The 27,981-nt window shown below is 38.4% G+C and overlaps 1 long non-coding RNA gene across 2 annotated transcripts in view, besides 1 other annotated feature; it reads left to right on the top strand.

The window, feature by feature from the left end:
• Window positions 1–27,981, top strand: part of LOC107984536 (uncharacterized) — a 297,729-nt gene that overhangs the window by 151,493 nt on the left and 118,255 nt on the right. The gene's annotated exons all lie outside the window — the stretch shown is intronic.
• Window positions 22,982–23,482: an enhancer, noted in NCBI's record as "H3K4me1 hESC enhancer chr12:84405381-84405881 (GRCh37/hg19 assembly coordinates)". NCBI's record gives its function as "activates a minimal SCP1, AML or CMV promoter by ChIP-STARR-seq in primed H9 embryonic stem cells {active_cell/tissue: H9 hESC(primed)}" and the evidence as "EXISTENCE:reporter gene assay evidence [ECO:0000049][PMID:30033119]".

Here is a 27,981-nt window from a genome sequence, read left to right as displayed (position 1 = left end):
CTTTAACAATAACAAACACCACTTTTCCTGAAGGAAATATAAACATTAAAAGTTCTTCCTGGCCAGATTCCCTCATTCTAAAAATTATGCGTTGTGCAATTGAAGAATATTCCCTTTGCTATTGGTATAGTACAATTACATGAGATTGCCAATGTTCATCATAATAATATATCCAACTCTGTCAATTTTTCTGAGTAGTTTTATAATTTAGTTAGCTTTTATTGCATTTCATCACAGTTTTGCATTACTGCATAAATTCCTGAAGGTATTTTACACATTAATAGTTATTTCATACCCAAATTTTAATCTTGACTATAACTTTATTGGGGTTCCTGTGAAAATGGAATTCATCTGAATATTGACATGACTTTGACAGAAAACACGCAGATTCCAAACATTCTGTAGAGTTCAATCAGTGCCAATTTGGTTTTGGCAAATATTAATAAAAAATAAAGCACTAATGAACACTTTGCCTAGAGTAATATTTGATGTTTATATAGTTTCCCTTATCAAAAGATATCAAACATGCAACAAGTGAAAATCTCATTAAGTCTCAAAATAGCCCAGTGAGAAAAAGTAGAGGTCAGGCTCTTCTACTCTAATTTCATAGACTTTCCATTCTACCTTTCTGGGAAAGAGGTAAAGCTTTTAAATAATGACACATACACAGAGGTGGAGAAAAAAAAAGCTGTCTCTTACAGAAAAATTGTTAAAATCAGAATTGCTCAAAAACTGGATTTAAATTAAATTTTGAAAGGGTTCTTTAGAGTATTTTGCACATGAAGACAAACATTAATGATTATATAAATTCTTGAAATATATTGCAAATTGATTAAATCTAGTATTTGTGAAGAAGCATTTTGCTCAACATTTTAAGTCAAGTATACTCTGGTATGTAGATGCCAAAGAACAAGATATGTGGATGAATGAACTGATAAAACTGACACTCATGAAAATATATTGTTTGAGATATAGTCCAGTGTAGTTCCTTGGTTCCTTGATTTTTTTTTTTTTTTTTTTTTGAGACGAAGTCTCGCTGTGTCTCCCAGGCTGGAGTGCAGTGGCGCGATCTGGGCTCACTGCAAGCTCCGCCTCCTGGCTTCACACCATTCTCCTGCCTCAGCCTCCCAAGTAGCTGGGACTACAGGCGCCCGCCACCTCGCCCAGCTAATTTTTTGTATTTTTAGTGGAGACGGGGTTTTACCGTGTTAGCCAGGATGGTCTCGATCTCCTGACCTCATGATCCGCCTGCCTTGGCCTCCCAAAGTGCTGGGCTTACAGGCGTGAGCCACCACGCCCAGCCAATATATATTTTTAAAGCATATTGCTGCTCCCTTAAGTGCCAGTTTCTGGCTTCCTCTCCCTCTGACCTGAAGTCAGAAGCTAGTATTTTCCTCCCTCCTCTCTAGTATTTACTCTAAAAAGATGCAGGATATTTTCGGTGCCACTTTGCCAGCCAGAAACCTCCACAACAGGAGGCGCCTCTTGCTGGAGTTTCACTCAGACCCTCTGGGCTTGCTCTACCCACTTGGCCGGGCAGGCTACGTTTAGGTCACACTGCTGGCCTTGATCTCACACCTGCCAAGGGCAAATCAGGAGTACTGGCTGCTTCAGTTTGGTGGACAGCTCCAGGCTGGTACAGGTGCTGGCTCCGTGAGAGGCTGCAGCTGGACCAGGCTCGACCACAAGCAGCTTCCACCTTGGTGCTGGTGTCTGGACAAGCAGAACGTGGTGGTGTCCAAAAAACTCTGAGACCCCAGAAGTCGTGGTGCCCCAAAGGAGGTGTTACAGCATGTTACAACTCTGGCTCCAACAGCCCTGAGGTCTGGGCCCCCAGGAAGCATTACAGCTCGTTTGTGTTACAGATCATTTGTTTCTCCTGTCCACACGCTTTGGCAAGTGGGGGCATATCCCAGCTGTTTTGTTCCCATTGCCCATTCTGGTCCATTGCTCCTGGGCTGGCCGTGCCCCACCTGCAGCTTCTCATTGCTTGGGGCAGGAGAACTGGGACAGGAGGGCTACAGTGTTACAGCAGCTCCTTTGGCACCGGCTGTTTGATGGGCCTCCCAGGTTGTTGTCCCACATCCAAGAAGAATGAGGTTACGTGTACAATCAAAGAGTGAGCAAGGCAGAGAAGAGTTTTACTGAGCAACAGAACAGCTCTCAGTAGAGAGGGGACCTGAAGTTGGTAGTCCCCACTGAAGGCAGGTAGTTCCAAAGTGTGGCTAAGTCAGGGGGTGAAGGGGGCGGGATTTATGGACTCAGAATGAGGGAGTGTGTGCTGATTGGTCCATCCGTGAGCCTGGGAAAAGAACCATTACATTGGATAAAAGGCATCCAGGAAGTTGTGACTCTGGTTGGGGTCTTTATCCCGTACCAGCAGCTTGGTTTTCAGGTCATTTTTGGCCTGAAGGTCAGGTTCAAGCAAAAAGGCCAAAAAGGGGACCCACCCCTTTCTGCCTAGAAATTTGTCTGCCTTCTGCCACTATCAATATTATAGTGATTTTCAATGTGTGGTCCACAGACTAGCAAAACCAATATACCTGGGCACTTGTTACAAAAGCAAAATTTCAGCTCTTAAACCAGACCCACGTAATTAGAAACTCTGTCATTTGAGCTTAAACTAAGATTTTAGATTTTTATTCTGATGCATGCTAATATCTGAGAATCACTTTATATGGCTTTCTTTACCATACCTATGAAAGTCATTTGCCAGATGCCTACATTCAAGTTATTCAGTATAAAGTGTCCATGGCGTTCTATCTGTCACAGTGCTTAATGAAACTATTTTACTTATTTCTGAAATCCCTCTAGATATTGCTTAATTGCCTAACCTGGTATTTTTCAAGTGATTCTGCGGCCTGACAGAAAACTGTATTCAAAAGAAGATAGAAATTATCTGTTATCTTAGAAAAATAATCTTAATATAAAATACTTTTTTAGAATTTGTGTAACATAGAATATTTTTATAGCTTTATGTTTAGTTTTCATTAATGAAGAATGGCAGAAGGAATTAGCAGGATGTAGATAGATTGTAATGGAGAGTAATATGATGGAATAGATTGGACTGATGTGGTCATAAAGCACTTTTCTAAGGATGTAATATTTAAACTAAGTTTGGAAAAAAGAAGAAACTGCATGCAAGAACAGTGGCTAGGATTTTGAGGCTGCAGATACTGCCCATCTATAGGCCAAGCTTCGTGAAAAAGCATCTTGTGTAAGGCATGTTAAAAGAGGACAGTAGGTGTTCAGCAGAGTGGACAAAGGGAAAGGATGAGAGAGATGCCAGAGAAAAAGAAATATACAAGCCATATGTGACTTCTTTCATTGAGAATTGCACATATGAAATGCAGATGTGTTATATGAATCAATAGTTTTTTCATTTCAATTACATAATAATAGTCCATTGGATCAGTGAAATGCAGTTTCTTTATGTAGGTCCTAAAAAGTAAGGCATTTATATTTTATTATAAAAAAGAAAAAATATTTAGTGAGTGTTAAGCACTGGTGTAGCATAATCCATCCATGTCTATAAAATATAAAGAAGTTTGCTTGTACAATGGTTGATATAGTTTTGAAAGTTCTAATAATGTAATATGACATGAAAAAATGTTTAATAAAATACAAGATACAAAATTAATTTCACATGCTTATGGCATTGGGTTTTAAAGTACAAGTAAAAACACACCTAGAATCAGTAGTAAGTAATAGAAATAGTAATAGTCATAGAAGGAAAAAAAACAACCTTTGAAAACAGGTAAGCCTGGGTTTAGCCTGAGCAGCATCATTTACAGAATAGGATCTTTTGAAAGGTATTTACCTCTAATGGGCATCAGTTTCTTCACCTGAAGAATAGAGGGAAATAATATCTATTTTGCAAGTTTGCACTGAAGATTAAAAGTGATAGTGCAACCCAAAGAATTAGTAGAAAGCAAATACCTTCCAAATAGGTTTTAAGATCATTGATAGAGTATCTTGATCCTGAAAATATACATGAGTGAATGTGTACATGTAGCTGAATTTTCCTATATAAGGGAAATAACCAATCAAAAATACAGTGGAAAAATAGACAAACCACATAAGAAGAAAGTCTATCATCTAATAAGTACATTAAAGAATAGACTGTGAAGTAACCAAAACATTTAGAAAGTAGAACTATTTTACTACATGTTCTAAATATGATTCAAATCTTTTAGCTGGTTAAAATTTTTAATATTTAAGAAACAAGACCAAGTGAGGAGGTCTATACCTGTAATCCCAGCACTTTGGGAGGCTGAGGCAGGCAGATCACTTGAGCCCAGGAGTTCAAGACCAATCTGGGCAGCATGGCAAAATCTCTGTCTCTACAAGAAAATCAAAAAATTAACCAGGCATGGTGGTGTGCCTGTGTTCCCAGCTACTCAGAAGGTGAAGTGGGAAGGATCACTTGAACCCAGGAAGTTGAGGCTGCAGTGAGCCAAGATTGTACCACTGCATTCCAGACTGGGTGACAGAGTGTGACCCTGTCTCAAAAAAAAAAAAAAAAAAAAAAAAAATTCAGTGGAAGATTTACATGTGAAAAACAAAACAAAACAACAAAAATTTTAAATGTATTTATAAACCCGAGATAGAAATGAATTTCTTAATAAAGACAAATTGTAAAATGAAAAGGAAATGTTAACTTTTATTACATTACATTTTTTAAACCTATGGGTCAAAAGACAGGATTTTTAAAATAAACATTTAACAGAAAAAAATCAGCAACAGCAACAATAGTAACTTCTGAGGAAATCCTTAATTAGTAGATTATAAATGCTACAATTGCTGGCTTTTTGACATACAGATGAGAAAATCATTCAGGGAAGTACAATGATATCTGACCAACTAAGTACCATAACTACAAATCACTGCATTTATCTCTAACCATTGTCATCATAATAATTGAAAAGATAATTTCATATCTAGATTAATAGTTGTTTCTACTACTTATGTGTTTTTCAGAAAAGTTAAAACATGGGCATTTATTTACAATTATTCACAATTAATTTTTACTTCATTTAGAAGATTATAACATGTTCCAAATTTTTGTACATTCATCTATGCAAATTGAATGTGTTCCTCACTTTGTCAATTCTAGTCTAAAATACATAAATTTGTGGAAGAGCTAGGGAATGCCTGAAGTGTGAATTTTTATTTCAAAGAATACCTGAATCTTGAAGCAGATTATAGTTTGTGATTTAAAAAAGCAACAATCAAATGGAATTTTTTTTTAGTGTGATTTCTCTTCAGAAGATTTTGTCTGTGAATAAAAATCTGTGCATTTTTTTTTCCTGGCAAAAACAAAGATTTAGACAAGTTACCTGGGGAAATTTGTGATGCATCATGTCAAAATTAATAAAACTATAGAAAATCACATTTCCCCACAAATCTCTTAGGGATGTTTTGTTTTATACTTGTTTGGCTTTCTATTCTGTAGCATCTGAGTAACTATCAGCATCAAGCCTTAAAAATGAACGTGCTTAGTTCATCAGTATGCCTTTAAATGCACTAAATGTTGGTGCTTATTACTAATTGGTGTTTCCTCCCTAGCAACCAATGAAATAGTTGACTTGCTCATGGAAATCAAATGCCAATTCTTTCTCAGTAGTCAGAGTGTGGTTTGTAGCAAAGTCATTCTTAGAAAAGTAGTATGACATAAATAAGGACCCCAAGACTTAGACACCTTGTTTTTCTGGATATTCCTTATATGCTATCAGGGATACCCCCAATATACATTTTCTCTCTATCCTCGTTATAAAAAACTTTCCAGTGGTGAGCAAGGATGTTCACCTCTGACGATGGTGAACACTTCTTAAGCTTACTTATAGGGGGCTCTCTTCTTCAGAGTCATTTGGCATAAAACTTTGAGTTGTAATATTTTTCTTGCTTTCCCAGCACTATTATTGCATGTGACTTCATAATTTTATATTTCCTTAATTTTTTTTGCCTTTGATTTCTATCTAAACTTCATGTCACCATTTTTTTCTTTTATTCTTGACTACTAAATAGACTTTCCATCTTTTTATTTTGTTTACAGAGCCCCCGTTTCTTTATTATACAAATATACCATTATTTCCTTCATTAATTTTATTCTCACCGGTTAATGTTTTAAAATTACCATCATTCATTTTCTTTCATTATACATCTTACCCTTGGTCATTTGTGTTAGAACCAATTATAGCAAGGAAATGGGGAAGAAAGAGGCATTTTCCAAAAATGCATTGTTGCCTCGGTTTTTAATTCACTACTTTTTTCTTTTATAAGGAATTGGGACCAATTTAAGTGATAAAATTTTGAGTGTCATTCCCTTTACGTGCAAAATTTTATGCCCTTAACTTTCACATAGATCTTGTTGTATTTTTTTTTTCAAACTCTTATTCACTTTGAAGCATCCTGCATAGGTCTGTAGGTGGTTGTATGTGTTTCAGTAATTCTTCATAACAAACAGCCACAAAAGACCAGTGACAAGTTACATGAATAATGTATTTCTTACTACCACATCTATGGATTCCTGGGTGCCTTTGCTCCATATATTTCATTGCGGGGCCGAGGATAGAAAGGTAGGGTCTGCTCAAGGTGTGGATGTGGTCTCCCAAGACAATGGCAAACATCGAGGATGGCAAGCACCTTTAAAGACTCTGCATGGATCCCATGCACTTACCAAAGCAAGTCATAGGGGCAAGTCCTGAAGAGCACTCCTCCTAAGCAGAGACCAAAACCTAACATCAATGGAATAAGGAAGTATACTCTTCCCATGGATAGGGACAGGTTAAGTAGTGAGTATTTGCTGAAAAAGAATCTAATCTACCACACCAAGTAGAGTGTTTGCAACCTCTTTTCAAAAGTTAAAAGACTAAAAATGTAAAACAATAACTAGTTTGACATTAGTGCTTCTATGAGAAAGACATATTGATACATTTTCCCATAAAAAGTAGTTACATATGGAGATTAGAATCAATTTTTAAATTACATTTTTGGTTAAGTGGATTTGAAGACTAGCCCGAAAGCAAACCACCGTGAATAGTATTATTTATGTGTTCCAAGTTATGACAGTTCAGTCTATAAACACTTTTTGTGGGGTCGCCAGTGGGAATTGCATTTTGGAGATAGATTGTATACATTGCTACCTTTACTCATGCTTCCCACAGAACATCTAGAATTTTATTTTTGATTGAGATGATGAAAGCTTAGAATAAAATATAAGTTTATCTAGATGTACATTCCCAGAAGGTCTGCATGAAAACATAGGCCACAGCACGTACCGTTTTCTGATACATTAATAGAAAGTGGGCTCAGAGAATTCTGTTTTACTCTTTTGCAAGATTTAAGTATTTATTATAACAATAACTATATAATAATAACTATATATCTTGTAAGTCTTCCATTTGCCTGTTATATATAGAATTTAACAAAAAAGTTGTAAAATATAGCTTTAAAAAAAGCTCGTATAGGATAAGCAACTTAATGTTACTACCATAGCCTGTAGACTTATACCCATCTCAGAATTCTCTTTCTGAGGCACCAGGTGACCAAAGAGCACACTTTTCTAAGAACAAGTACATTGCACTATGAGTAAAACACATAAGCAGTGCACACACACATACAAACGAGTGCACATGGAGTACAAAGAATATACAGTGTGTATTAGCTTACCAAATTTCCTTGATATTTAATCAGGATCTAATACCTACCTAACTTATTTATTGTACATTTTATTTATCTGTGCTTATTGCTAAGATAATAAAAATTAAGATAATTTTAAACACTCAAGTTCTCAGAAAATCTAAAAGATCTATTTAAATATATAACTAGTCCTTTCAGATTCTGTAATGGAAGAAATTTATAGGCTCTATAATAAAAAGTTAGTATCGCATTTATTATTAACATATTTATTTATCTTTCTTCAACTAGATTGAGCCAATTCTAATATTGCCATTCCTGACTCAGAAAAATATGTCTAAAATGTCATGCCTTCGTTAGTAACCAGATTTATTTTATTACTATTCAATAATTAAACATAAAGTGGAAGTTTTTTCTTCATTTCTTCTAAAAGACAAAAAAATGGGATACATGTGCAGAATGTGCAGGTTTGTTACCTAGGTGTACGTGTGCCATGGTGGTTTCCTGCAGCTACCAACCTATCCTCTAAGTTCCATCCCATTACTCCCCACCCCCCAACAGGCCCTGATGTGTGTTGTTCCCCTGTGTCCATGTGTTCTCAATGTTCAACTCCCATTTATGAGTGAGAACACATGGTGTTCGGTTTTCTGTTCCTCTGTTAGTTTGCTAAGGATAATGGCTTCCAGCTTTATCCATGTCCCTGCAAATGACATTATCTCATTTCTTTTTATGGCTGCATAGTATTACATGACGTGTATGTACCACATTTTCTTTATCTAATCTATCATTGATGGGCATTTGGGTTGGTTTTATGTCTTTGCTATGGTAAATAGTGCTGCAACAAACACATATGTGCATGTGTCTTTATAGTAGAATCATTTATATTCCTTTAGGTACGTGCCCACTAATAAGATTACTGGGTCAAATGGTATTTCTGGTTCCAGATCCTTGAGGAATTGCCGTACTGTCTTCCACAATGGTTAAACTAATTTACATTCCCACCAATAATGTAAAAACTTTCCTATTTCTCCACAGTCTTGCCAGCATCTATTGTTTCCTGATTTTTTAATAATCGCCACTCTGACTGGTGTAAGATGGTATCTCATGTTGGTTTTGATTTGCGTTTCTCTGATGATCAGTGATGTTGAGCTTTTTTTCATGTTTTTTGGCCAAGTAAATGTCTTATTTTGAGAAGTGTCTGTTCATATCCTTTGCCCACTTTTTGATGGGGTTGTTTTGTTCCGGTAAATATCTTTAAGTTCCTTGTAAATTTTGAATATTAGACCTTTGTCAGATGGACAGATTGCAAAAATTTTCTCCCATTCAGTAGTTTGCTTGTTCACTATGACAATAATTTCTTTTGCTGTGAAGAAGTTCTTCAGTTTAATTAGATTTAATTGATTTAATTAGATCAAATTTGTTAATTTAGGCTTTTGTTGCCATTGCTTTTGGCATTTTTATCTTGAAGTCTTTGCCCATGCCTATGTCCTGAACGGTATTGCCTAGGTTTTCTTCTAGGGTTTTTATGGTTTTAGGTCTTATGTTTAAGTCTTTAATCCATCTTCAGTTAAATTTTGTATAATGTGTAAGGAAAGGATCCAGTTTCAGTTTTCTGCATATGGCTAGCCAGTTTTCCCAACACGATTTATTAAATAGGGAATTCTTTCCCCATTGCTTGTTTTTGTCAGGTTTGTCAAAGATCAGATGGTTGTAGATGTGTGGTGTTATTTCTGAGGCCTCTGTTCTGTTCCATGGGTCTATATATGTGTTTTGGTGCCAGCACCATGCTGTTTTGGTTACTGTAGCCTTGTACTATAGTTTGAAGTCAGGAAGCGTGATGCCTCCAGCTTTGTTCTTTTTGCTTACGATTGTCTTGGCTATATGGGCTCTTCTTTGGTTCCATATGAAATTTAAAGTAGTTTTTTCTAATTCTGTGAAAAATGTCAATGGTAGTTTGGTGGGAATAGAATTGAATCTATAAATTTCTTTGGGCAGTATGGCCATATTCATGATATTGATTCTTCTTATCCATGAGCATGGACTGTTTTTCCATTTGTTTGTGTCCTCTCATTTCCTTCAGCACTGGTTTGTAGTTCTCCTTGAAGAGGTCCTTCACATCCCTTTTTAGCTGTATTCCTAGGTATTTTATTATCTTTTTAGTGATTGTGAATGGGAGTTCGTTCATGATTTGGCTCGCTCCTTGCTTATTGTTGGTGTAAAGAAATGCTTGTGATGTTTGCACATTGATTTTGTATCCTGAGACTTTGCTGAAGTTGCTTATCAGTTCAAAGAGTTTTTGGCCTAAGATGATGGGCTTTTGTAAATATAAAATCATGTCATCTATAAACAGAGACAATTTGACTTCCTCTCTTCTTATTTGAATACCCTTTATGTCTTTCTCTTGCCTGATTGCCCTGGCCAGAACTTCCAATACTATGTTGAATAGAAGTGGTGAGAGAGGGCATCCTTTTCCTGTACTGATTTTCAGAGGGAATGCTCCAACTTTTGCCCATTCAATATGATATTGGCTGTGGGTTTGTCATAAAGAGCATATATTATTTTGAGATATGTTCCATCAATACCAGTTCATTGAGAGTTTTTAACATGAAGGGATTTTTTTTTATATTTTAAGTTTTTTTTTATTATTATACTTTAAGTTTTAGGGTACATGTGCACAACATGCGGGTTAGTTACATACGTATACATGTGCCATGTTTGTGTGTTGCACCCAGTAACTTGTCATTTAACATTAGGTATATCTCCAAATGCTATCCCTCCCCCCTCCCCCCACCCCACAACAGGCCCCGGTGTGTGATGTTCCCCTTCCTGTGTCCATGTGTTCTCATTGTTCAATTCCCACCTATGAGTGAGAACATGTGGTGTTTGGTTTTTTGTCCTTGCGATAGTTTGCTGAGAATGATGGTTTCCAGCTTCATCCATGTCCCTACAAAGGACATGAACTCATCATTTTTTCTGGCTGCATAGTATTCCATGGTGTATATGTGCCACATTTTCTTAATGCAGTCTATTATTGATGGATATTTGGGTTGGTTCCAAGTCTTTGCTATTTTGAGTACTGCTGCAATAAACATACGTGTGCATGTGTCTTTACAGCAGTGTAATTTATATTCCTTTGGGTATATACCCAGTAATGGGATGGCTGGGTCAAATGGTATTTCTAGTTCTAGACCCCTGAGGAATCACCACACTGTCTTCCACAATGGCTGAACTAGTTTACAGTCCCACCAACAGTGTAAAAGTGTTCTTATTTCTCCACATCCTCTCCAGCACCAGTTGTTTCCTGACTTTTTAATGATCCCCATTCTAACTGCTGTGAGATGGTATCTCATTGTGGTTTTGATTTGCATTTCTCTGATGGCCGGTGATGACAAGCATTTTTTCATGTGTCTTTTGGCTGCATAAATGTCTTCTTTTGAGAAGTGTCTGTTCATATCCTTCGCCCACTTTTTGATGGGGTTGTTTTTTTCTTGTAAATTTGTTGGAGTTCATTGTAGAATCTGGATATTAGCCAATTGTCATATGAGTAGATTGCAAAAATTTTCTCCCATTATGTAGGTTGCCTGTTCACTCTGATGGTGGTTTCTTTCGCTGTGCAGAAGCTCTTTAGTTTAATTACATCCCATTTGTCTATTTTGGGTTTTGTTGCCATTGCTTTTGGTGTTTTAGACATGAAGTCCTTGCCCATGCCTATGTCCTGAATGGTATTGCCTAGGTTTTCTTCTATGGTTTTTATGGTTTTAGGTCTAACATTTAAGTCTTTAATCCATCTTGAATTAATTTTCGCATAAAGTGTAAGGAAGGGATCCTTACACTTTCAGCTTTCTACATGTGGCTAGCCAGTTTTCCCAGCACCATTTATTAAATAGGAAATCACTTCCCTATTTATTGTTTTTGTCAGGTTTGTCAAAGATCAGATGGTTGTAGATATGTGGCATTATTTCTGAGGACTCTGTTCTGTTCCATTGGTCTATATCTCTGCTTTGGTACCAGTACCATACTGTTTTGGTTACTGTAGCCTTATAGTTTAGTTTGAAGTGAGGTAGCGTGATGCCTCCAGCTTTGTTCTTTTGGATTAGGATTGACTTGGCAATGTGGGCTCTTTTTGGTTCCATATGAACTTTAAAGTAGTTTTTTCCAATTCTGTGAAGAAAGTCATTGGTAGCTTGATGGGGATGACATTCAATCTATAAATTACCTTAGGCAGTATGGCTGTTTTCATGATACTGATTCTTCTTACCCATGAGCATGGAATGTTCTTCCATTTGTTTGTATCCTCTTTTATTTCATTGAGCAGTGGTTTGTAGTTCTCCTTGAAGAGGTCCTTCACGTCCCTTGTAAGTTGGATTCCTAGGTATTTTATTCTCTTTAAAGCAATTGTGAATGGGAGTTCACTCATGATTTGGCTCTCTGTTTGTCTGTTATTGGTGTATAAGAATGCTTGTGATTTTTGCACATTGATTTTGTATCCTGAGACTTTGCTGAAGTTGCCTATCAGCTTAAGGAGATTTTGGGCTGAGATGATGGGGTTTTCTACATATACAATCATGTCATCTGCAAACAGGGACAATTTGACTTCCTCTTTTCCTAATTGAATACCCTTTATTTCCTTCTCCTGCCTGATGGCCCTGGCCAGAACTTCCAACACTATGTTGAATAGGAGTGGTGAGAGAGGGCATCCCTGTCTTGTGCCAGTTTTCAAAGGGAATGCTTCCAGTTTTTGCCCATTCAGTATGATATTGGCTGTGGGTTTGTCATAGATAGCTCTTATTATTTTGAGATACGTCCCATCAATACCTAAATTATTGAGAGCTTTTAGCTTGAAGGGTTGTTGAATTTTGTCAAAGGCCTTTTCTGCACCTATTGAGATAATCATATGGTTTTTGTACTTGGTTCTGTTTATATGCTGGATTATGTTTATTGATTTACATATGTTGAACCAGCCTTGCATCCCAGGGATGAAGCCCACTTGATCATGGTGGATAAGCTTTTTGATGTGCTGCTGGATTCGGTTTGCCAGTATTTTATTTAGGATTTTTGCATCGATGTTCATCAGGGATATTGGTCTAAAATTCTCTTTGTTTGTTGTGTCTCTGCCCTGCTTTGGTATCAGGATGATGCTGGCCTCATAAAATGAGTTAGGGAGGATTCCCTCTTTTTCTATTGATTGGAATAGTTTCAGAACGAATGGTACCAGTTCCTCCTTGTTCCTCTGGTAGAATTCGGCTGTGAATCTATCTGGTCCTGTACTTTTTTTCGTTGGTAAGCTATTCATTATTGCCTCAATTTCAGAGCCTGTTACTGGTCTATTCAGAGATTCAACTTCTTCCTGGTTTAGTCTTTGGAGGGTGTATGTGTCAAGGAATTTATCCATTTCTTCCAGATTTTCTAGTTTATTTGCATGGAGGTGTTTATAGTATTCTCTGATGGTAGTTTGTATTTCTGTGGGATTGGTGGTGATATCCCTTTTATCACTCTTTATTGCGTCTATTTGATTCTTCTCTCTTTTCTTCTTTATTAGTCTTGCTAGTGGTCTATCAATTTTGTTAATCTTTTCAAAAAACCAGCTCCTGGATTCATTGATTATTTGAAGGGTTTTTTCTATCTTTATTTCCTTCAGTTCTGCTCTGATCTTAGTTATTTGTTGCTTCTGCTAGCTTTTGAATGTGTTTGCTCTTGCTTCTCTAGTTCTTTTAATTGTGATGTTAGGGTGTCAATTTTGGATCTTTCCTGCTTTCTCTTGTGGGCTCTTAGTGCTATAAATTTCCCTCTACACACTGCTTTGAATGTGTCCCAGAGATTCTGGTATGTTGTGTCTTTGTTCTCGTTGGTTTCAAAGAACATCTTTATTTCTGCCTTCATTTTGTTATGTACCCAGTAGTCATTCAAGAGCAGGTTGTTCAGTTTCCATGTAGTCGAGCGGTTTTGAGTGAGTTTCTTAATCCTGAGTTCTAGTTTGATTGTCCTGCGGTCTGAGAGACAGTTTGTTATTATTTCTGTTTTTTACATTTGCTGAGGAGAGCTTTACTTCCAACTATGTGGTCAATTTTGGAATAAGTGCGGTGTGGTGCTGAAAAAAATGTATATTCTGTTGCTTTGGGGTGGAGAGTTCTGTAGATGTCTATTAGGTCCCCTTAGTGTGGAGCTGAGTTCAAGTCCTGGATATTCTTATTAACTTTCTGTCTCTTTGATCTGTCTAATGTTGACAGTGGGGTGTTAAAGTCTCCCATTATTATTGTGTGGGAGTCTAAGTCTTTTTGTAGGTCACTAAGGACTTGCTTTATGAATCTGGGTGCTCCTGTATTGGGTGCATATATATTTAGGATAGTTAGCTCTTCTTGTTGAATTGATCCCTTTACCATTATGTAATGGTCTTCTTTGTCTCTTTTGATCTTTGTTGGTTTAAAGTCTGTTTTATCAGAGACTAGGATTGCAACACCTGCCTTTTTTTGTTTTCCATTTGCTTGGTAGATCTTCCTCCATCCCTTTATTTTGAGCCTATGTGTGTCTCTGCACATGAGATGGGTTTCCTGAATACAGTGCACTGATGGGTCTTGACTCTTTATCCAATTTGCCAGTCTGTGTCTTTTAATTGGAATATTTAGCCCGTTTACTTTTAAGGTTAATATTGTTATGTGTGAATTTGATCCTGTCATTATGATGTTAGTTGGTTATTTTGCTCGTTAGTTGATGCAGTTTCTTCCTAGCCTCGATGGTCTTTACAATTTGGCATGTTTTTGCAGTGGCTGGTACCAGTTTTTCCTTTCCGTGTTTAGTGCTTCCTTCAGGAGCTCTTTTAGGGCAGGCCTGGTGGTGACAAAATCTCTCAGCATTTGCTTGTCTGTAAAGTATTTTATTTCTCTTTCACTTATGAAGCTTAGTTTAGCTGGATATGAAATTCTGGGTTGATAATTCTTTTCTTTAAGAATGTTGAATATTGTTCCCCACTCTCTTCTGACTTGTAGAGTTTCCATGAAGGGATGTTGAATTTTATCAAAGGCCTTGCCTGCATCTATTGAGATAATCAGGTGGTTTTTGCCTTTGGTTCTGTTTATGTGATGGATTACATTTACTGATTTGCGTATGTTGAACCAGCTTCGCATCCCAGGTATGAAGCCAACTTGATCATGGTGGATACGTTTTTGATGTGCTGCTAGATTTGGTTTGTCAGTATTATATTGAAGATTTTCATATTGATGTTCATCAGGAATATTGGCATGAAGTTTTCTTTTTTTGGTGTGTCTTCTCCTGTTTTTGGTATCAGGATGATGCTGACTTCATAAAATAAGTTAGGATGGAGTCTCTCCATTTCAAATGTTTGTAATAGTTTCAGAAGGAATAGTTCCAGCTCTTCTTTTTATTTCTGGTAGAATTCAGTTGTGAATCTCTCTGGTCCTGGGCTTTTTTTGGTTGTGAGGCTATTAATTACTGCCTCAATTTCAGAACTTGTTATTTGTCTATTCAGTGATTAAACTTCTTCCTGGTTTAGTCTTGGTAGGTGTATGTGTCCAGGAATTTATCCATTTGTTGTAGATTTTCTAGTTATTTTTGTAGAGTGTTTACAGTATTCTCTGATGGTAGTTTGTATTTCTGTGGGGTCAGTGGTGATATCCCCTTTATCAATTTCTATTTTGTCTATTTGATTTTTCTCTCTTCTTCTTCTTTATTAGTCTATATAGCGGTCTATTTTTTTAATTTTTTCAAAAAAACAGCTCCTGGATTTATTGATTTTTGAAGGGTTTATGTGTCTCTATCTCCTTCAATTCTCTTCTGATATTAGTTATTTCTTGTCTTCCACTAGCTTTTGGATTAGTTTGCTCTTGCCTATCTAGCTCTTTTAATTGTGATGTTAGGGTGTCTATTTGAGATCTTTCTAGTTTCTGATGTGGCATTTAGTGTTATAAATTTCACTCTTAACACTGCTTTAACTGAGTCCCAGAGATTCCGGTACTTCATTTCTTTGTTTTCATTGGTTTCAAAGAGCTTCTTGGTTTCTGCCTTAATTTCATTATTTACCCAAGAGTCATTCAGGAGCAGGTTGTTCAATTTCCATGAAATTGTGTGGTTTTGAGTTAGTTTCTTAATCCTGAGTTCTAATTTGATTGCACTGTAGTTTGAGAGACTGTTTAGTCTGATTTCAGTTATTTTCCATTGGCTGAGTAGTGATTTATTTTCAGTTATGTGGCCAATTTTAGAATAAGTGTCATGTGGCACTGAGAAGAATGTATATTCTGTTTACTTGGGGTACAGATTTCTATAGACGTCTACTAGGTCCACTTGATCCAGAGCTGAGTTCAAGGACTGAATATCCTTGTTAATTGTCTGTCCCATTGTCCTGCCTAATACTGACATTGGGGATTACAAGCGTGAGCCACCACGCCTGGTGGTTGGAGGTGAATTTTCATAAGGAAACTACAACTCCCAGCAGTCTCCAAAGCTTGCTGCCATATTGGCACAGTCTCCACCCCCATTGACTGGGGATAGTTATATTTCCTTTGGGTTTCTTTAATAATAGAGCCCAGAGTACAGAACAAGGTAGCTGCAACTCCTCATAGTCCTTGGAGGTAAGGGAGTTGCTAACACGGCTTTGCCTCAAAGACAGCTGGGAATTGTAGTTCTTTGAAGCTCATGGTGGTTAAGGGAATGAAAACATTTCCAGGCCAGGTGTGGTGGCTCATGTCTGTAATCCCAGCACTTCGGGGAGGCCAAAGGAGCCTAAGTATCTTTGTAAGTCTCTAAGAACTTGTTTTCTGAAACTGGTTGCTCCTGTATTGGGTACGTATATATTTAGAATAGTTAGCTCTTCTTGTTGAATTGTTCCTTTTACCATTATGTAATGCCCTTCTTTGATTTTTGATCTTTGTTGGTTTTAAGACTGTTTGATCAGAGACTAGGATTGCAACCCCTGCTTTTTTTTACTTTCCATTTGCTTGGTAAATATTTCTCCATCCCTTTATTTTGAGATTAAGTGTGTCTTTGCACATAAGATGAGTCTTTTGAATACAGCACACTGATGGGTCTTAACTCCTTATCCAATTTTTCTGTCTGTGTTTTCTAATTTGGGCATTTAGCCCCTTTAAATTTAAGGTTAGTATTGTTGTGTGTGTGTTTGATCCTGTCATCATGATGCTATTTGGTTATTTTGCACACTAATTGATGCAGTTTCTTCATAGTGTCATTGGTCTTTATGTTTTGGTGTGTTTTTGCAGTGGCTGGTACTGGTTTTTCCATTCCATATTTAGTGCTTCTTTTAGGAGCTCTTGCCGGGCAGACCTGGTTGTAACAAAAATCTCTCAGCATTTGCTTGTCTGGAAAGGATTTTATTTCTCCGTTCCTTATGGTGCTTAGTTTGGCTGGATATGAAATTATGGATTGAAAATTCTTTTCTTTAAGAATGTTGAATATTGGCCCCCCTCTCTTGTGGCCTGTAGGGTTTCTGCTGAGAGATCTGCTGTTAGTCTGATGGGCTTCCTTTCTTTCTCTTGCCTGATTGCCCTGGCCAGAACTTCCAATACTCTGTTGAATAGGAGTGGTGAGAGAGGGCATCCTTGTCTTGTGCCCTCTTTTATATACCATGTATATAAAACCAGCAAAAAATAAAAATGTAATATTTCAAATTAGTATTGGACTGCTGATTTTTTTTCATATAAAATAATAGAAAACCATTTAGATGCATACCTACTTGCAGTCTGGGATATATAGGAATGAAATATGCCTAAAACATATTTTTCAGATTTTCAATTTGACAAAATATTTTCTACTCTTGGGTAGTCCCTTCTCTTTTCAATTTTAGGTTTCTCAATGTGGCAATATTTTTAGAAGAATACTAATTTATATAAAATTTAGATTTTTTTAAAAAAATTACCCATTCATCATAAATAGTTTTATGCCATGCATTTTAAAACTTATTGCACAATTTCAGCTGCTTGTGCCTGCCAAGATCATACCACAATCAGGCTTATTTTTAAGTTAGTGATATAGACTTCCATTATAATATACAACATGAAGCTGCTGATTCCCAAAATACTTAGAAATATAGTACTCCTCACCAACTTTTGAGTTGCTACTTTAATTGGAGCAAAAAAAATTACTTTGTGCCAGTTATGCTAATAAGTGACTATGAGAAATTAAATTACCAGCTTCATATTTTAAATATATTCTAGTGATGGCTTATCTTGCTTTTAGACTGGTGCCAGACATCTGCCCAGCTTGTTCATACCTTAATAAAGTACTACTCCCAGTGGCAGCTGGTGGGGAGTAGACAAATCTGTGTTGTGTGCACATACACATATACATAAATCCCCTTCCAAGATGTTCCCTTTATGTAATCCACCATCTGTGGGACATCACAGGTTTCAGCATTGCCTTTGATCCCCAGCTTCAAGCTTGTGCTCACATACATAAACTCATTTTCCACCAAATTCTACATTGAGATATATATATATCATTTGAAAAATGAGAATATACATAAAAAGAGACTTAGGTATTTTGATGTAACTTCACTCCATCCCATTAATGGCTTTATTTACCCTACATCTATACTCATGTTCAACAAGATTATAATTTGTGTGCATACATTTCTATGGGTGTTTGTGTTTTAGTTTTTTGTTTTGAAATAGTCATAGATTCACAAAGGCAGTACAGAAAGGCTCAGGATACACTTCACTCAGTTTCTCCTATGAAAGAAACTTCCATTTTGCAATTATAGTACAATATCAAGATAAGGAATTTGTCATTGGTACAAATTGTGTGTATAGGCTCATGTCATTTAATATGTGTAAATTGTATAGTCACCATTCAATCAAGGTGAAGAACCAGTTAATCACTAGCAAGATCTTCTTCAAATTGCTTTTTATAGTCACCCTCATTACCCTCCTCCCAACATCCTCAATGCATAGCAATTACTAATTTGTCTTTCAACTCTATAATTTTGTAATTTCAAGAATGTGATTAAGAATGAAATAATACCGTGTGCGATGTTTTTATATTAGTATTTTTCTTCTCAACATAATGCCCTTGAGTAGTTCTGTTTATCAATTGTTCATTTGTTTTTATTGCTGAGTAGTATTACATGAGATGGAAGTACTATAATTTGTTTAACCACTCACCTATGGAGGGATATTTTAGTTGTTTTCAGGTTTGAGATATATGCTACTATACACATTCATGTATAGCTTTTTTCTGTGGAATTAAGTTTCTATTTCTTTGGAATAATGGGCAGAAATGCAATTTCTGGATCACATGTTGAATATAGGTTTAGCTGTTTTTTGTTTGTTTGCTTGTTTGTTTGATTAAAGACGGGGTCTTTCTCTGTTGTTGAGGTTGGAGTGAAGTGACCTGCTCATAGCTCACTGCACCCTCAAACTCATGTGCTCAAGCAATCCTTCCACCTCAGCCTCTCAAGTAACTAGTACTGCAGGCATGTGTCACCATGCCTGGTTAATTATTTTGTTAAAGTTTTGTAGTGATGGTGTCGCACTATGTTGCCCAGGCTGATCTTGAACTCCTGGCCTCAAGTGATCCTCCTGACTCGGCCTCCCAAAGTGTTGGAATTATCGGTATGAGCCACTATACCTGGCCTAGTTTGTTTCTTTTTAAAGAAATTAACAGATTATTTTCGACAGTTGCTGTAACATTTTACATTCCAACCAGATTGTATGAGAGATCCAATTTTTCTCCGTCTTCACCAGCATTAGGTATTGAATGTTGTCACATTAAAAAAAATAGCTGTTCTCAAGTTTTTTTAAAAGGGCTCCAAAGAAAAAGAAAACAAGAAATATACTTAATTAAGGAGATAAAAAATCTCCACAAAGAGAAGTACAAAACACTGATAAAAGAAATCACACAAAAAAAGGAAAAAACATCCAATGCTCATGGATTAGAATAATCAATATTGTGAAAATGACCCTGTGCTCTAAAGCAATCAACAGATTCACAAGTGCTATAAATATACCAATGCCATTTTTAATGAATTAGAAAACAAAATCTTAAAATTTATATGGAATTTTAAAAAGTACCTGAAGAGCCAAAGCAATCCAAAGCAAAAAAAACAAACCTGGAGGCACCACATTTCCTGACTTCAAATGATACTACAGAGTTATAGAAACCAAAACAGCCTGGTACTGGTACAAAAGTAGACACATAGACCTGCGAAACATAACAGAGAACCCAGAAATAAAGCCAAATACTTACAAGCAACCAATTTTCAACAAAGCAGATGGAAACCTACGCTGGGGAAAGGAAACACTATTCAGTAAATGGTGCTGGGAAAATTGGATAGTCACAAATAGAAGAATGAAACGGGAGCATTATCTCTCACCATATACAAAAATTAACACAAGATAAATAAAAGACTTAAATCTAAGACTTGAAATTATAAAAATTTCAGAAGAAAACCTCTCCAGGACATTGGCCTAGACAAATAATTTATGACTAAGACCCTAAAAGCAAATGCAACTAAAACAAAGATAAATAAATGGGACCTAATTAAACTAAAAATTTTCTGCAGAGAAAGGCTGAAGAGAAGCCTCTAGTGGTTATAATACTTACAAGAACACCAAATAGAACAACTATCCAAACAAAAAACACCTTCATAAGAACCAAAATGCAGGTGAGCGAATACAGTACCAGGTTTTGTTTTTACTTTTGTTTTGTTTTGTTTTTCTTTTTTCTTTTTCTTTTCTTTTTTTTTTTTTTTTTGAGACAGAGTCTCATTCTGTCGCCAGGCTGGAGTACAGTGGCGCAATCTCGGCTCACTGCAACCTCCGCCTCCCGGGTTCAAGCAATTCTCCTGCTTCAGCCTCCCAAGTAGCTGGGACTACAGGGGCACGCCACCATGCCCAGATAATTTTTGTGTTTTTAATAGATATGGGGTTTCACCATGTTGGCCAGGATGGTCTCGATCTTTTGACCTCGTCATCTGCCCACCTTGGCCTCCCAAAGTGCTGGGATTACAGGCGTGAGTCACCACGCCTGGCCCACACTACCAGGTTTTAACATCATATTGAGGGAAGAGGCACTGAAGATGGTAGGAAAAGTATTCTTGAACCATGTACATTACTCATTTTCTATATCCCCTAGCAATGGCCCAGTAGCATGGAGAGAGAATCTGTGCACATGGGTGAGAAAGAGGACAGTGATTGGGGATTTTGCATTGTGCTGTCAAACACATCAGAAAGTGATTCAGGGAACAATTCAGCCAGTGCTCACAGAGGGAGCACTTAGACAAGCTCTAGCTAGAAGGGAATTGTTCATTGTCCATCCAGAGGTTGGAACCTGAGTTCTGGCAAGTCCTGCCACTCTAGGCTAACTTGTTCTGGGTTTCTAAATAAACTTGAAAAGTAGTCTGGGCCACAAAGATTGCAATTGCTGGGCGAGTCCTTTTGTTGTGCTGGGCTCGGAGCCAGTGGACTTGGGGTGCATATAAACTAGTGAGATACTAGGTGGAACAGCCAGGATTGCCTGCATCAACCTTTCCTCAATGCCAGGCAGCACAGCTCATGGCTCCTGGAGAGACCCCTTCCCTCTGAGTGAGGAGACAAGAGAAGAGAGTAAAGATAACTTTGACTTGAAATATGGACACCAGATTACCCACAGTAGAATAGGGCACCAGGCAGAGTTCGGAGGCCCCTATTCCAGGACCTAGCTCATGGACAATATTTCTAAATACACCCTGGGTCAGAAGAGAACCAGCTGCTTTGACCTATCACCTGCTGAATAAAGAGCCCTAGGGTCCCTGAATAATCAGTAGTGGTAACCAGGCAGTACTTGCCATAGGTCCTGGATGAGACTCAGAGCTATGCTGTCTTAAGGTGTGACCCAGCACATCACCAGCATGGTAGCTACAGGAAGAGACCAAATATGCTTGAAGAAATGAGAGAAAAGTATAAAGAGGATATTGTCTTGCAGCTTGGGCACTGGCTTGGCCAAAATTGGGTAGGGGATTTTAGCAGTTGCCAATTTAAGACCTTGGCTACTGGACAGCATTTCTGAACACACTCTGAGCCAGAAGGAAGCCCATTGCCCAGAAGGGAGCGACTCAAGCCTGGCAGCATTCACCAAAAGCTAACTAAAGGAACTTGGGCATTGAGTGGACATAAGCAGTAGCCAGGCGGTAGTTGTCATAGGTCTGAGCTGGTGGTGGCCATGGGGAGAGAATCTACTGCTTAAGAAAAGGGGAAGGGAAAGTGGAAAGAACTTTGTCATGTAGCATGGATGCCAGTTCAGCTGTAGTAGAATAAAGGACCAAGTAGATTCCAAGGGTTTCTGGCTCCAGGCCCTTGCTCCTGGATGGCATCTTTGAACCAGCCCAGGACCAGAGGAAACTCACTGCCCTGAAGGAAAGGATGAAAGACTGGCTGAATATGTCACCTGCTGATTGTAGAGCCCTTGAGCCTTGAGTGAACATCAGCAGTAGCCAGGCAGTTGTCATCGTGAGCCTTTAGGGAGACCCAGTGCTGTGCTGAAAACAGGACTGACCAAGTACAGTTCCAGTAGTATTGTCTACAAAGATGCAATTCTCTAGCTGCATGAAGCTCAGTGCAGAGAGAGAGACACTCCATTGATTTGAGAGAAAATTAGGGAAGACAAGAAAAGTCTCTGCCTAGTAATCCAAGCAACTTTCCAATATCTTATTCCAGACCAGCAAGGTAGTTCCTCTACAAGCCTGGAGGATCCACAGCATAACTGGTTTTGCAGTGCCTCCTAAAACAGAAATGGCTGCAGTGACCAAAGACTTAGATCACAACACCCAAATCCCTGTGAATACATGGAAAAGCCTACCCAAGAAGGACAGATACAAACAAATGCAAACTGTGAGTACTACAAAAATACCTAAATCTTCGATGTTCAGACATTGATAAAAATTCACAGGCATCAATGCTATCCAGAAAACATGACCTCAGCAAACGAAATAAATAAGTCACCAGTGACCAGTCTAGGAGAGACAGAGATGTGACTTTTCAGACACAGAATTAAAAATAACTGTTTCTAGGAAACTTTATAAAATTGAAGATAGCACAGAGAAGAAATTTAGTATTCTATCAGATAAATTTAACAGACATTGAAATAATTAAAAACAAGAAGAAATTCTGGAGCTAAAAAATGCAACTGACATACTGACAATTCTGTTAGAGTTGCTAAACAGTAGAATTGGTAGAGCAGAAGAAAGAATTAGCAAGCTTAAAGACAGATATTTGAAAATATACAATCGGGGGCCTGGCACGGTGGCTCATGCCTGTAATCCCAGCACTTTGGGAGGCCAAGGTGGGCGGATCACAAGGTCAGGAGTTTGAGACCATCCTGGCCAACATGACGAAACCCCATCTCTACTAAAAATACAAAAAATTAGTTGTGTATGGTGGTGGGCACCTGTAATCCCAGCTACTTGGGAGGCTAAGGCAGGAGAATGGCGTGAACCCAGGAGGCAGAGGTTGCAGTGAGGCGAGATCGTGCCACTCTACTCCACTCCAGCCTGGGCAATAAGAGCAGAACTCCGAGAGGGAGGAGCCAAGATGGCCAAATAGGAACAGCTCTGGTCTACAGCTCCCAGCATGAGCGACACAGAAGACGGGTGATTTCTGCATTTCCATCTGAGGTACGGGGTTCATCTCACTAGGGAGTTCCAGACAGTGGGCACAGGTCAGTGAGTGCACGCACCGTGAGCGAGCCGAAGCAGGGCGAGGCATTGCCTCACTCGGGAAGCGCAAGGGGTCAGGGAGTTCCCTTTCCTAGTCTAAGAAAGGAGTGACAGACGGCACCTGGAAAATCGGGTCACTCCCACCCGAATACTGCGCTTTTCCGACAGGCTTAAAAAACGGCGCACCAGGGGATTATATCCTGCACCTGTATCGGAGGGTCCTACACCCACGGAGTATCACTGTTTGCTAGCACAGCAGTCTGAAATCAAACTGCAAGGTGGCAGCCAGGCTAGGGGAGGGCACCTGCCATTGCCCAGGCTTGCTTAGGTAAACAAAGCAGCCAGCCAGGAAGCTCGAACTGGGTGGAGCCCACCACAGCTCAAGGAGGCCTGCCTGCTTCTGTAGGCTCCACCTCTGGGGGCAGGGCACAGACAAACAAAAAGCAGTAACTTCTGCAGACTTAAATGTCCCTGATAGCTTTGAAGAGAGCAGTGGTTCTCCCAGCATGCAGCTGGAGATCTGAGAACGGGCAGACTGCCTCCTCAGGTGGGTCCCTGATCCCTGACCCCCGAGCACCCTAACTAGGAGGCATCCCCCAGCAGGGGCAGACTGACACCTCACACGGCCAGGTACTCCAACAGACCTGCAGCTGAGGGTCCTGTCTGTTGGAAGGAAAACTAACACACAGAAAGGACATCCACACCAAAAACCCATCTGTGCATCACCATCATCAAAGACCAAAAGTAGATAAAAACCACAAAGATGGGGAAAAAACAGAGCAGAAAAACTGGAAACTCTAAAAAGCAGAGCACCTCTCCTCCTCCAAAGGAACGCAGTTCCTCACTAACAATGGAATGAAGCTGGATGGAGAATGACTTTGATGAGCTGAGAGAAGAAGGCTTCAGGCGATCAAATTACTCTGAGCTACGGGAGGACATTCAAACCAAAGGCAAAGAAGTTGAAAACTTTGAAAAAAATTTAGAAGAATGTATAACTAGAATAACCAATACAGAGAAGTGCTTAAAGGAGCTGATGGAGCTGAAAACCAAGGCTCGAGAACTACGTGAAGAATGCAGAAGCCTCAGGAGCCGATGCGATCAACTGGAAGAAAGGGTATCAGCGATGGAAGATGAAATGAATGAAATTAAGCGAGAAGGGAAGTTTAGAGAAAAAAGAATAAAAAGAAACGAGCAAAGCCTCCAATAAATATGGGACTATGTGAAAAGACCAAATCTACATCTGATTGGTGTACCTGAAAGTGATGGGGAGAATGGAACCAAGTTGGAAATCACTCTGCAGGATATTATCCAGGAGAACTTCCCCAATCTAGCAAGGCAGGCCAACATTCAGATTCAGGAAATACAGAGAATGCTGCAAAGATACTCCTCGAGAAGAGCAACTCCAAGACACATAATTGTCAGATTCACCAAAGTTGAAATGAAGGAAAAAATGTTAAGGGCAGCCAGAGAGAAAGGTCAGGTTACCCTCAAAGGAAAGCCCATCAGACTAATGGCGGATCTCTCGGCAGAAACCCTACAAGCCAGAAGAGAGTGGGAGCCAATATTCAACATTCTTAAAGAAAAGAATTTTCAACCCAGAATTTCATATCCAGCCAAACTAAGCTTCATAAGTGAAGGAGAAATAAAATACTTTACAGACAAGCAAATGCTGAGAGATTTTGTCACCACCAGGCCTGCCCTAAAAGAGCTCCTGAAGGAAGCGCTAAACATGGAAACGAACAACCGGTACCAGCCACTGCATAATCATGCCAAAATGTAAAGACCATTGAGACTAGGAAGAAACTGCATCACTAAGAGCAAAAGAACCAGCTAACATCATCAAAATGACAGGATCAAATTCACACATAACAATATTAACTTTAAATGTAAATGGACAAATGGACTAAATGCTCCAATTAAAAGACACAGACTGGAAAATTGGATAGAGTCAAGACCCATCAGTGTGCTGTATTCAGGAAACCCATCTCACATGCAGAGACACACATAGGCTCAAAATAAAAGGACGGAGGAAGATCTACCAAGCAAATGGAAAACAAAAAAAGGTAGGGGTTGCAATCCTAGTCTCTGATAAAACAGACTTTAAACCAACAAAGATCAAAAGAGACAAAGAAGGCCATTACATAATGGTAAAGGGATCAATTCAACAAGAAGAGCTAACTATCCTAAATATATATGCACCCAATACAGGAGCACCCAGATTCATAAAGCAAGTACTGAGTGACCTACAAAGAGACTTAGACTCCCACACATTAATAATGGGAGACTTTAACACCCCACTGTCAACATTAGACAGATCAATGAGACAGAAAGTCAATAAGGATATCCAGGAATTGAACTCAGCTCTGCACCAAGTGGACCTAATAGACATCTACAGAACTCTCCACCCCAAATCAACAGAATATACATTTTTTTCAGCACCACACCACACCTATTCCAAAATTGACCACATACTTGGCAGTAAAGCTCTCCTCAGCAAATGTAAAAGAACAGAAATCATAACAAACTATCTCTCAGACCACAGTGCAATCAAACTAGAACTCAGGATTAAGAATCTCACTCAAAACCGCTCAACTACATGGAAACTGAACAGCCAGCTTCTGAATGACTACTGGGTACATAACGAAATGAACGCAGAAATAAAGATTTTCTTTGAAACCAACGAGAACAAAGACACAACATACCAGAATCTCTGGGATGCATTCAAAGCAGTGTGTAGAGGGAAATTTATAGCACTAAATGCCCACAAGAGAAAGCAGGAAAGATCCAAAATTGACACCCTAACATCACAATTAAAAGAACTAGAGAAGCAAGAGCAAACACATTCAAAAGCTAGCAGAAGGCAAGAAATAACTAAAATCAGAGCAGAACTGAATGAAATAGAGACACAAAAAGCCCTTCAAAAAATTAATGTATCCAGGAGCTGGTTTTTTGAAAGGATCAACAAAATTGATAAACTGCTAGCAAGACTAATAAAGAAAAAAAGAGTGAAGAATCAAATAGACGCAATAAAAAATGATAAAGGGGATATCACCACCAATCCCACAGAAATACAAACTACCATCAGAGAATACTACAAACACCTCTACGCAAATAAACTAGAAAATCTAGAAGAAATGGATAAATTCCTCGACACATACACTCTCCCAAGACTAAACCAGGAAGAAGAATCTCTGAATAGACCAATAACAGGATCTGAAATTGTGGCAATAATCAATAGCTTACCAACCAAAAAGAGTCCAGGACCAGATGGATTCACAGCCGAATTCTACCAGAGGTACAAGGAGGAACTGGTAGCATTCCTTCTGAAACTATTCCAATCAATAGAAAAAGAGGGAATCCTACCTAACTCATTTTATGAAGCCAGCATCATCCTGATACCAAAGCAGGGCAGAGACACAACGAAAAAAGAGAATTTTAGACCAATATCCCTGATGAACATCGATGCAAAAATCCTAAATAAAATACTGGCAAACCGAATCCAGCAGCACATCAAAAAGCTTATCCACCATGATCAAGTGGGCTTCATCCCTGGGATTCAAGGCTGGTTCAATATATGCAAATCGATAAATGTAATCCAGCATATAAACAGAACCAAAGACAAAAACCACATGATTATCTCAATAGATGCAGAAAAGGCCTTTGACAAAATTTAACAACCCTTCATGCTAAAAACTCTCAATAAATTAGGTATTGATGGGAAGTATTTCAAAATAATAAGAGCTATCTATGACAAACCCACAGCCAATATCATACTGAATGGGCAAAAACTGGAAGCATTCCCTTTGAAAACTGGCATAAGACAGGGATGCCCTCTTTCACCACTCCTATTCAACATAGTGTTGGAAGTTCTGGCCAGGGCAATCAGGCAGGAGAAGGAAATAAAGGGTATTCAATTAGGAAAAGAGGAAGTCAAATTGTCCCTGTTTGCAGACGACATGATTGTATATCTAGACAACCCCATCGTCTCAGCCCAAAATCTCCTTAAGCTGAGAAGCAACTTAGCAAAGTCTCAGGATACAAAATCAATGTGCAAAAATCACAAGCATTCTTATACACCAATAACAGACAAACAGAGAGCCAAATCATGAGTGAACTCCCATTCACAATTGCTTCAAAGAGAATAAAATACCTAGGAATCCAACTTACAAGGGATGTGAAGGACCTCTTCAAGGAGAACTACAAACCACTACTCAAGGAAATAAAAGAGGACACAAACAAATGGAAGAACATTCCATGCTCATGGGTAGGAAGAATCAATATCATGAAAATGTCCATACTGCCCAAGGTAATTTACAGATTCAATGCCATCCCCATCAAGCTACCAGTGACTTTCTTCACAGAATTGGAAAAAACTACTTTAAAGTTCATGTGGAACCAAAAAAGAGCCCGCATCGCCAAGTCAATCCTAATCCAAAAGAACAAAGCTGGAGGCATCACACTACCTGACTTCAAACTATACTACAAGGCTACAGTAAACAAAACAGCATGGTACTGGTACCAAAACAGAGATACAGAACAATGGAACAGAACAGAGCCCTCAGAAATAACGCCACATATCTACAACTATCTGATCTTTGACAAACCTGAGAAAAGCAAGCAATGGGGAAAGGATTCCCTACTTAATAAATGGTGCTGGGAAAACTGGGTAGCCATATGTAGAAATCTGA

The sequence above is a fragment of the Homo sapiens genome, chromosome 12, assembly GCF_000001405.40.
Source record: "Homo sapiens chromosome 12, GRCh38.p14 Primary Assembly".
NCBI lineage: Eukaryota > Metazoa > Chordata > Mammalia > Primates > Hominidae > Homo > Homo sapiens.
This window is presented reverse-complemented; position numbering and strand designations above follow the sequence as displayed.